General features: G+C 36.4%; 1 protein-coding gene across 39 annotated transcripts in view; it reads right to left on the reverse strand.

Annotated features, from left to right (window-relative positions):
- Window positions 1-12,607, reverse strand: part of NCOA2 (nuclear receptor coactivator 2) — a 346,665-nt gene that overhangs the window by 211,555 nt on the left and 122,503 nt on the right. For 2 of the 39 annotated variants that reach the window (XM_047421239.1, XM_047421242.1), the window contains exon 1: window positions 6,511-6,599. The exons of the other annotated variants lie outside the window; for them this stretch is intronic. The gene's annotated coding sequence lies outside the window, so the exon portion shown is untranslated. Of the gene's footprint in view, window positions 1-6,510; window positions 6,600-12,607 lie in introns of those variants that run through there. 39 annotated transcript variants of the gene reach the window in all.

A 12,607-nucleotide genomic window follows, 5' to 3' on the forward strand; every position in this document is an offset into this window, starting at 1 on the left:
TTTTGTAGAGATAGGGTTTCACCATGTTGCCCAGGCTAATCTTGAACCCCTGAGCTCCAGCACTCCACCTGCCTCAGCCTCTCAAAGTGCTGGGATTACAGGCATGAGCTTCCATGCCCAGCCAATATTCATAAAATATAACATCACTTTGTAACCCATAAGTATGTAATTACAAATTGCCAATTTACAAAATTAAAATTTTTGAAAAAGAAATTATTTATCCAAAGGAGATTTCAGTAGGTACCAGGCAGGCTGTGCACATCCATTTTCTTTCTCACAGAGGAAGTAGACTTACTAAGACACCCTTCGCCACACAAGAAGCAAAACAGCATTCTTTCCTATGAGGTTTGAAATTTCTAATATATCAGAAATGCTTTGCTTTTTTCCTTCATCAAGAATATATTTTATTTATAAACTTGATTCTTAGGTAATGCTTTCCTAAGTTTCAGAATATACCTTTTTTTTTTTTTTTTTTTTTTTTTTTTGGTGAAACAGCCAAGTGAATAAAACTATCTAGCCTAGGTGAGGTGGCCTGTAATCCCAGCACTTTGGGAGGCCCAGGCGGGGGGATCACCTGAGGTCAGGAGTTCGAGACCAGCCAGGCAAACATGGTGAAACCTCATCTCTACTAAAAATACAAAAATTAGCCAGGCATGGTAATCCCAGGTACGTGGGAGGCTGAGGCAGGAGAATTGCTTGAACCTGGGAGGCAGAGGTTGCAGTGAGCCAAAATTATGCCATTGCACTCCAGCCTGGGCAACAAAGCATGACTCTGTCTCCAGAGGGGGAAAAAAAAACCTGTCTACAAACTTCTAGTAAGTTATTTATTTCATCATATGGCACTAAGAAAATCATCATGTTTGCCATTAAAACTAGGTACACTAATAACTTATAGCTTAATATTTTTGGCATGGTTCTTACTGAAATCTGCTACTTTCAACCAAGTCATTATGCCTCGAGAGCTCTGTCAAGACTTAATATATGTTCATTCCTATGATAAATATTTACTGATATTTCAGATAAATAGTTGTGGTTGCTGTAACACATATATTCACTACAGAAAACTGTAGATTTCTATATAAGCAAGAACCAATTATTGTATGATCATAAGCAATACCATAAGGGCAATATGAATATTTACTAGTATTATACAAAACAGCTAGCACCAAATATTTGGATTTCAGTACAGTTCTTCCTCCAGTACCCACATCCTTGAGACGTATTAGGAGGTAAAATTCACCTAAGTTTTAGAACTCAACAAACCATATCTCAAGTATTTACTTCTGCCTTTACCATACGTGTGATCCTGGGCAAGTTAGTTAACCTCCCTCGGCCTTAGTTTCTTCATTTGTAAAATAATAATACAAACCTTGTTAAGTTTTTAACAGAACAATATATTGTATGTAAAGTACCTAGGAAAGGGTCTGGCCCATAGTAAATGCTTGATAATGACAGTGATTACTGTAATCATTGTTGAAATTGCAGAGATCAAACAATTCCTAATAATATAGCCAAAAAAGTGAAGTGCTCAGGACCTTCAAAAATATTTCAAAGAATTTGTTATCAAGATATTTTTAGACTTGTATTTCTGGGTTCTACAAAGTCCAGATGGTATCTTCTGTCCTACACAAGTTAGGCTGTGTCGTAAGACTCTTCTACCAGGTACTTTCTTGACATCTGTGAGAGGCAAGCAGGTATTTCCCCAGTACTTAAACACTAGGTCTGCTAATTACTGAGTCAGATTTAACGAATACGTAAACTACTCTGGCTATGCTAAACACTTAGGGAGGCTGCATCAGATTTTTCAACAACTGGTCAGTATGTACTGAGTCCACTGAGTACGCAGCTATGTTCTAAAAAGTTGCATTCACATCAATAATCAAACATAATCCCTGCCTGAGTAGAGTTTACCATCTAGAGGAAACAAACTAAAAGAAGTTTAAAAGAAAATGTAGTATGTTTTAGTATAATGGCTAGCTAAAGTTGATTTTGCTGTGTTTTAAAAACGAGAAAGAATATAATTAGATGAGAGGCAGTTATAAATATAAATTACAATTTGGATGTTGAATGTAGCAACAGCGAGAAAGCACACGAACACAGGATGAAACATAAGTAATGCTGACAGTGAAAAGCAGATTTATCTGAGGTAGGAAAAAAAATTAGCAAACTTCAAAAAGGTCATTGATATTAAGGGTGCTAACAGCCTAATCTGGAAATTTAACAAAATTTTTTTAAAAAATAATTATTTGATACATTAAGTCCTTTGCTAATTATTGAAGGGGGGGAGATTATTGCCTGGGGATACTTATTACCATAAACGATGTGTAAATCAGACTACTGATTATATGATTATAACATTGTCTCACTCAATAAATACTATCTACCCAACTATCTCCAATAACCTTTCTGACACCTGGTATGAGCCTATGTGCTAATTTTCTGGTTTTCTAGAAAAAAAATAGTTTTTAAAATGAACTCCCAAAAAGATCCAAAATTTAAAGAATAATATGTATATACAAACACAACTATCCAATACCATATGGTAGGTTAACATGGTATTTCCAGGACAGTCCTAATCTTCAGTGGGGATGAACATGCTTCCCTGAACAGTCTGGGGTCCCATTTCCCAGGCCCAGCCCTTCCCCTACCCATTACTGGTCCCACATACCACCTTAACTGGTTCTGCTACTAGTTTTTCTCTCCCTCTGAAAATCCGTCTTAATAAAGGACTTCATTTTTCAAGACTGACATGTATATGCCTAGGATACACATGTTAGGATAAAATATACTAAGTAAGCTGGTGATTATTCTACTCCAAATATCTCTATTTTCTCCATCTTATCAATATATGCTATCTAATCCCTAAAGTATATGGAGACATCTTGTCAATTTGTGACCAAAATGCAGTGCAAATTTCATTCATTCATTCTCTAGTTCCTCATGAACTCATCAAGTACCAGGTGCCAGAGGATATAAAAAAGTTGTATTAATATCTTTGTTTTTTTTAGGTTTATTTTTGAGACAAGGTCTCGCTCTGTCACTCAGGCTGCAGTGCAGTGATGTGACCAAAGCTCGCTGCAATCTCAAACTTATTGGGCGCAAGTGATCCTCCTGCCTCAGCCTCCCAGGTTGCTGGGACTGTAGGCACGTGCCACTGCACCCAGCTAATTTTTAATTTATTTTCTGTAAAGACAGGGTTCTCACTATGTTGTCAAGGCTGGTCTCAAACTCCTGCCTCAAGCAATCCACCCGCCTTGGCCTCCCAAAAGCTCACGAGCCATGGTGTCCAACCCCAAAAAAAAAAAGGTACTCATATAGGATAAACTCTATAGATCAACAACCTTTAAAAGAAAATTAATAACCCTTTCTTACTCATTCCAAGAAGATTTTGCTATCCTTGGGACTTGTTCCAAGAGACAAGATATTAGGTACTGTTTCCAAACGTGGCCTCATATCTGAACCAACTATTTCAAATGCAGTCAGTTCTACCTTTCCCCCTTTAATGAAGTTATCATTCACTCTGATCTTTTTAAATTTTCCTTTTTATGTTTACTTTGGAAATTTTGAAAAATAGAAAAAAAGCATAAAAGAGAGGAAGAAATATTCACCACTATCTCTACCCCCATGAAGTAACTTCTCTTAGTATTTTAGCTAATATTTTTTAATTTATTTCTTTCAGATGTTTTTACTATCCATATCTTTAAACATAATAATTTACTACTTAGCTATTTGCCCTTACCATTACTGTTATTCCTATCTTAAGAATATGGCATCATGTACCTAACCATTTCTTTCCTGTTAAACAGTGCTGTTTCCATTGTTTCACTGTTTACAGAAACTGTATGACAGAAATCTTTGAACACAAATCTTCGTCTGGTTATATAATTATTTCCTAGGCATTCCTTGGTCAAAAGATATGCTCAACTGGTAAGGCTTCTGCTATACAAAGCCAAAGTGGTTTTTCAGAAAAGTAGTAACAATTTATACCAAAGACTAGTTCCTGAAAATGCTCTTTCAATCACAATCTAATTAACAAAGGGCAGTCTCTCACTCATTCACTCATTCTACTAATTTAATAAATAGAAAGTAGAACATAACATCTTTTTTTTTTTTTAAACACTCTGTCGCCCAGGCTGGAGTACAGTGGCGTAATCTCGGCACACTGCAGCCTCAACCTCCTCTGGCTCAGGTGATCCTCCTAAGTAGCTGGGACTACAGGTGCACATCACCACACTCAGCTAATTTTTGTAAAGATGGGATTTCGCCGTGTCACCCAGGCTGGTCTTGAACTCCTGGACTCAAGTAATCTGCCCACTTTGGCCTCCCAAAGTTCTGGGATTACAGGCGTGAGCTATCGTGCCTGGCTGAAAATAACATCTTAACTGCAAGTTTTCACTTATACTTTTCATTTAAGAATCTTGTCTGTTCTTTATCGAGGCTAAAATGGGATCTAGCTATCCCCCAGAATCTTTCACATGGGTGGCCCATTTACTTGGTCTGCCATTCTGATCTTTCTGGCCAAAGCTTCATCATCTCTAACCTCATCACCTCACAAATGAAGGCCATTACCACCAACATTCTAAGTAGCTGACTGCTCTCCCTGGGACACACCTACCATTCTAATAGCAGAGGCAGCTCAAATGAGGCCACTAGGAAACTAGCCTGCACTACTCCTCACCTCTTCACAACTGGCAAGACAAGCCAAAAACACTGAGTTACAGTTTAATAGGCTTCCACCAAAACTCCTACAGTTCTTAATCATATAAACACTTTTGTCAATTCTTCCTAGTACCCATGATATGGTTCAATTAATACTATTTTCAAAGTAGTCTACTACATGTAATATAAACTGTAAGTCTGTGTACATCTATGTATGAAGTATACATCCTCTTACCCTTTATAATTAAGTCACCATCACATAAATAAGTCCGTGTATATATGTATATAAAGTACATATGCTCTTACCTTTATTAAGTTCTCCCATATACATGTGAAAGGATACAGGCATTTCACTGTTAGTTCAAAATAGTGACAGCAATAAAATTAATACAAATAAAATGACAGAAAACTACCCTTTCTGCATTTCTCTCTCTCACACACACACACACACACACGTGCACACACACACACACACATGCACACACACACACACAGCTGTGATTCCTAAAATTATACAGAAAACAAAGTAATTTGGAGGACATGTCTTTCATAAAATATAAAACAAGGGGGGTTCACATGAGGAAAACTGATAGCAAATTTTTAATTTCTTACATGATATATATATAACAAATCATGGAGATCATTGGTCACGGCCTCCAGTGATCCAGTGTTGAAGATTTCAAGCTCAAAAGCTAGCAAAGTTTACTTGACCATTATACAGATTCACTCCTAGACATACTGGTAACTCAATATTCATGATCATCCAGATGCATAAAGAAGAACAGAAAATGTAATGAGATATATTCAGCTTTCATTAGTTTTAGCCTTTGAAGTATTGGAAATAGTCTCTAAATTCAACACTAACTTTACAAAATGCAGAAACAGTCTTTTAAAAAATTAAAGGCCTCAGCTACCTTACTGTGGTTCTAATACATAACTTATCTCCTAGCTTCTCTAGAGATCACACTAAGGACAATCTTAACTTCACTCAGTCCTGTCCCAGTAGTCCTTTACCAGCCACTAACTCACTTCACTGCCTTTGCTTAAGCTTTCCTTGCCTAACTTCAAAGTTTTCCATTCATATTCAAGATTAAGTATATTCTTGAAGTTTGCTCGAGGAGATTAATACATTCGGCTTCTGTCATCACTTTCCTTAAAACATAGGCACACATGAAAAGTCTTGAAATGAACAAATCTTCAAATGAGCAACAATCTTGCCTTGTATTCATTTGCATTTTGAATAATGTCATTAAGGAATATATCTGAAACAAATTAAGTAAAGTGTGCCTGGTAACAACATACTCAACAGAAAGCAAGAATGCAGTATGTATTCTCTGCACATAAATGCATGCCTACATTTATACATTTGTGAGAAGCCTGAAATTTTTGCAAAATTCATTAATATAATCCATTCAAATATTGTCCAAAGGATACCTCAAAGTTAAGTGAGTACCAAAACTGCTTTAATTGCTTTAACTGATTCTGTTTCAAAGACATTTATTTTAAGCAACTCTTCAATCCACCTTCTAAAAGTAAATAGCAGTGGCATAAATCAGAATACCAACAGACAAAATTAATGTAGTTAAAAGTCAACCAGTTAAAGTACAAGTACAATCTCACTATATGACCATCATCACTACTAATCAAAACACTCCAACTAAAACAAAACCAGGAAAAAAACCGACCTGGATTTCCAAAGCGGTTTTTAATGTTACTAGAGAAAGCAATCACACAGTAGATATTATGATTAAACACTGATGTATTAAGAGAGTTTTAAAAAAGCTGAATGTAGATAGATGGAGAGACAGACAGACAGACAGACAGATGGGTTTTTAAAGCTACATTACCTACCAAGAGCTTCCAACAATCTCCACTCCTTTGGGAAGCAGCATTTTAACGAACCAGCTACATGCATCCCAGAGGCTCAACCCACATTTCCTGATTTCTATGACAAAGATTGTCATTAACCTTACCAAGATCACCAGGAATGCAGTACCAGTGTGGCCACACTTAAATAAACCTTTCATCTACTTTGAGCAAAACAAAAACACTGTAAAACTGGTATGGCAAGTTACACAACTTAGCACTATTATACATTAGTTTCAGATGAGACCGTCTGACTAATCAGCGTACCTGAGACACATACAGAAAAGTTGAAGACCTGTAAATGGCACTGAACTTGGAAAACCAAGAACTAATCAATTCAAGAACTTTTCAGCAGAATAGCTATGAGATTATGTAAACCATCGAATGAATACAATTCTAAGTCTTATAGATTATATGTACCTGCTATATTTCAGTGAAAGAAACCGATTATTTTTCAGCTGTAAAGGTCTTTCCTCAGTTCTTCTACAAGACAATTTGTATGTTTCTACGCAATAAGTTTGTGACATTCTTGGGTACAATTTTTCTTGTCCTCTCTAGGTCTCCTAGACATCATTCATAAACTGGATTCTTTGAATAGACATTTACCATCTTAAATTCCTTGAATAAATTTCCTTAAATAAAATTCTAAACTAAACAAGTGGTTTCTAGAATACTGAACTTGTCCTTGTTATAGAAGAACTCTATTAATATCAGTGATTAAGCAGGCAATCAAGGCTCACTTATAAAAACTGAGGTTAAGAGGAAAAAAACTCAGCAAGGTTCAAGACCATGTACACACCTATTCATCTGTACACACAGAATACATTTTTCACATTAAATATTTTTTCATGTTAAAAAATAACTTTTCATTTGCATTTCTCTGGTGTCAAACTAGATACCTTACCAGAATAAATAAAATTAAAAACAAAGAGAAAAAATAGGACAATACCAACAAGTAATGAGGATGCAGAGCAACTAGAACTTCCACAACATTGCTGATGAGAATATAAACTGATACAACCACTTGAAAAACTGTTTGGTAGTACCTAGTACCTACTAAAGCTCAATATACTTTATTCTCAAGACCCAGCAATTTTTTTTTCCTTCTTAGAGACAGGATCTCACACTCTGTCACCCAAGCTGGAGTGCAGTGGCATGATCATAGCTCACTACAGCCTGAACTCCTGGGCTCAAATAATCCTCCTGCCTCAGCCATCTAAGGAGCTAGGACCACAGATGCACACCACCATGCCTGGCTACTGTTTTCTGGTTTCTTTTTTTGAGACAGGGTCTCACTCTGCTGCCCAGGAGTGCAGTGGTGCTATCACAGCTCACCGTAGCCCCCAATGTGTTCAAGCAATCCTCCCACCTCAGCCTCCTAAGTAGTTGGGACTACAGGCGTGAGCCACCACACCTGGCTTATTTTTTGTCCTTTTGTAGAGATGGGAGTTCGCCATGTGGATGGTCTCAAACTCCTGGGCTCAAGCAATCGACCCACCTCAGCCTCCCCAAGTGCTGGAATTACAGGCATAAGCCACTGTTTCTGACCTTTTTTATTTTTTAATTTTTTGTAGAGATGGAGTCTCCCAGGCTGGTCTTGAACTCCAGGCCTCAAGTCATCCTCCCAACTGGACCTCCCAAAATGCTAGCATTACAGGTGTGAGTCCACATGCCTCAGCCAAGACTCAGCAATTTTGATCTTGGGTATACCCAAGAGATGTGAGGGCTCATGTCCACAAAAAACACAAATAGGAATGTTCACAGCAGCTTTATTCATAACACCAAAATAGAAAGTGACCCAAATGTTGATGTATTCATCAATAGGATAAATAAATATTAATATATTCATATAATGGAATACTACAAAGCAATGTAAACAAAAGCACTAACGCTATATACTACAACATTCAGAAATCTCATGGATGCAACAATGCACAGCAAAGAAGCCTGACACAAAAAAGTACGTCTTATATGATTCAACTTTTATAAAGTTCAAGAACAGGTAAAACTAATTACAAAGAACAGAGCTCTATCTTATAGGGACCAAGGTCACCACAGCGGTTATCTCTGGGGAAATACTAATGGAAAAGAGCACAGGAGAGGGAACCTTCTGGAGTGATATAAATATCCTGTTTTCATCTGGGTAGTATTTACAAAGGCACATACATATTTATATATATAGAAAAACTCATCTGAGTCATATTCCATCTTACCACTTCCAACTGCCTTACCTCCATTAAGTTATTTAACCTATCTAAACCTATTTTTTTTTCCAGTACAAGATGGGAATAATGACTTTGACACAGGATATGAAGATTATAAAACACTCAATAAATGATGATGATGATGATGATAATGATGATGATGATGATGATGATCTGGTTTCTTATTTGCTTCAAATAAGGAACACAGTGGAATAATGTATGAGCTCGGTACGGTGGCTCATGCCTGTAATCCCAACACTTTGGAAGGCCAACGCAGAGGGATCCCTTGAGGCCAGGAATTCAAGACCAGCCCAGGCAACATAGAGAGGCTCCTGTCCCTACAAAAAATAAAAAGATAAGCCGGGCATGGTGGCACACACCTGCAGTCCCAGCTACTCAGGAGGCTGAGATGGAAAGATTGTTGGAGCCCAGGAGGTCTAGGCTACAGTAGGCTCCAATCATGCCACTGCACTCCAGCCTGAGTGACACAGACACCATGTCTCAAAAAAAAAAAAAACCCCAAAAAACAAACAAAAAAAAGATGAATGTCAATTAGTAAAAACAATAGCTGGCAGTCATAGAAAAAAATCAGATACCAGAAATTAAAATTTGGAAAAGTCTTATGTCATAGTACAAAAGCAAAATGCTGAACACAAGTTAACAAAAAGTAACGTGCACAGTATTTACTGAGTCACAAGAAAAAGACAGGTTATGCTTACGCAATCTTAAAAAGTATGGCTGTGTGCAATACACTTAGAAAAAATTTCCAGTTGAAGTGGTTAAATAAAATAAAAGCAATTCTAACACCTACGAGCTGGTTATCTTCAGTTATCTGGAAATGGCAGCTATGCAAAGCAAATAGATAAGGAATTAATATATAATATTTCTCTCCTAAATAAGAACTTTCAATTAGCTAATTCATTTTAAAGCCTCCCGTACTCCCACTTACTTAAGAACAGTCAGTAAAGAAAACAGTTCTAACATGGAGGAGGAATTTATTTACATCCTGAAATGCTCATATGGTACAGCTTTTAATTAAAAAAAAAGCAAATTCTACATTTACATATATAGCAAATGTATGATATTTTTAAGATATTCTTTACTGGGCTTTCTCGTACAATAATGATCAGGAGTAAAACTGTCACCTGCTAATCATTTCTGGCACATAGAAACAACAGCATAAAGCTTTCTTACTAAAACAAACAAACTAAAACAACACAATAGAGTATAGCACATAATCAGAAAAGTAATCATTTTAGTCTTTAAATTTTTAATACAGCTTTTATGTGTCCTTGAATTTACTCTAATTCAAAATTTTAGCTTGCTGAAATATAAAATGGTACTACAAATTTTAAGCTAATTTTTAAATTGCTAAAACTGTATTAAATTACAGATTTTTTCCTTTTTACAGATCTCTTCAGTTGCCTAAGAGTTCATAGCTACAAGTAACAGATATTCCTTACGTTAAAATGTCTAAAATTAATGCTATGTATTAATTTATGTGAAACTTCTAAAAAGTCTAACATTTTGATGTTATTTTAGATCTACATTTTTTTTCTGGCATTAAACTGCATACGACCAGAGAAATCAAAGTAAAAGTCAGACTTTAGCCAACTTCATTTTAAGCTAAGCTTTAATTTTCATTTAAGCTGTATCTTTAAATGCTTACATTTAAATTTTCTAAAGCAAAAATCTCATATTCAGTGAAGGAGCAATCAAACATATTGTGAACAAAATAAAATCATTAAGATGTTACAGTCCCAGCAAAGGCAGTATGAATAAATGCAGTTTTTCACATACATAGACAAACTACACTTTTAAACAATAAAACATGACTTACATCATGACATGAATAGAGATGCTGAAAATGTTAGAATGCAAAGTACCCTCAAGGTCAACAGGATTTTCTTTTATATTCATGTTACATGCGCTCCTTTATTAAGGTTTCAAAAACAATACTTATGAAAAGCAGTCACTATGCGATGAGAGAAGCCATTTTAAGACTTGTAAATCAACTATTTTACTAAAAACAAAAGTATATAGTAAACAGTAACTTGAATTAGAAGTGGTTGGGGAAGAAGCCAACACCATTGCTTGTAGCTAAAACTGGACAAAGTAAATACATTTTTTTAAATCTCTAGGAATTTTGAAAAAGGAGCAAGTCAACTTTTTCAGTTAAAAAGCAACTACATTTGTGTTTGAGCAGAGAATATCTGTGCCAAGTTTAGCCCACTGTGAATTAAAATGGCTACATTTGTAAGCAGGTTTAAAACTATGCTTAATAATTAAAAGAAAACTACCTACACTTGAATATGTTCCACAATACTACAATATATTATAATATGATATTTCTGACTCTACGCTGCTCTAAAACATTTTCCCAACTTCTTCTTCCTAATTCTAAATAGGAAAATGGGTCTTTTTCTGTGGAAGTTGATAGAAAAGTCTGCCAAAATCCCCTTTGACTATTTTAGTCATAAATTTTGCTGTTGCTGTTTTTAGGTGGGGGTGGCAAGTGGAGCCTTTTTTAAAGGTGCTTCATAATGTGTATGACTGTGTATTCAGATGTATTACAATTTAAATAGATTTTTAACAGCAAATTTTGATGCTTATATCTAATTATTTTTTTCCATTTTAAATAATTCACAAGTGACCAACACTTGCTTTCTTGGCCTGACTACTCTAAGCCTATTTAATCTTTAAAGATCAAACTCCAGGAGTCCATAGTTCAGAGAAACACATGCTTTACGAAAGCTGGGATGTGGTTGCTTAATACAGAGAAGAATAAAGCACTGAAGTCATCCCACAGTGGAGACAGGAAATAAATTATTTTTATTCATGGAGTACAATGCCTAGAACTTTATAGTCATTAACTACAGTTACCAGATTAGGCCTGAAAGGTAAATATGATTACTTTCATTTTACAAAGAAACTGTAAAAACTGGGATTTCTCAGTTTCTGAGATAACTTGCCTGGGGTCTCAATGATAGTGGCAAAGCAAGGATTCAAACTTATGATTTCATTTTCCAAATTCCATTCTCTTTTCACCCTACCTTCATCCACCCCATTATGTAGTTGCAGCATTTATCAAAGAGCTGGCTGGACCGGTCTTTTCCAACTGCTTGCAGGGCATGTTCAAAGACTGGACTTTTTTTGGGCAGACCTGAATGAATTTAAAAACCCACATCTAAACTGAACCATGCCCAGAGTATTCCTAAGCATTCACTATTACACCGATGGGTACCTTGGGGTGCCAATGCTGTCCCATCACCCTGAAGCTGCATCAGTCCCAGACTCCCAATAGCAGCCACTGCTATTGAAGTACATTTCCTGAACTCTGCCAGCAATGGGCAGTTCTGGGCACTGGCCTAGAGATTAAGCCTCTTGCTTCTTAAGAGCAATCATTGCCTTGCTCCAACACTGCCATGAATAACCTGCTGGGTTAGATTCTCTTTCACACTCTGTTGGGCGACATGAATACACATCAGCAGCAAAAAATTAACACAAACTTTCAAAATTTAACAGAATTTGCCATTTATCAAGGCATGGAAGGGTGAGAACCACTGGCCTAGGCACACCAGTGGACACAGCCAACAAACCCAGTACACGTTAATGGTGACCACTACCTGCACTTGTCAATTCACCAGTCCTAAAAGCCATCCAAGACCCTCCCCATCAGCTTGCTCTAACAAAGATTCTTCACCCAGACTGTTACATGACAATGCCCCTTGCCTGAGCAATATACATACCTATTCTCTAAGAGTGGGTAACACTGGCCAGTTAATGTCAAGCAATAAATGCTTTGCAAATAAAATATGCATCTTAGTTGTTAATTTCCCTCCTTCCTTCCTTCCACTATTTCTTCTACTTCAGGTTAA

Source organism: Homo sapiens, chromosome 8 (genome assembly GCF_000001405.40).
Source record: "Homo sapiens chromosome 8, GRCh38.p14 Primary Assembly".
Classification (NCBI taxonomy): Eukaryota; Metazoa; Chordata; class Mammalia; order Primates; family Hominidae; genus Homo; species Homo sapiens.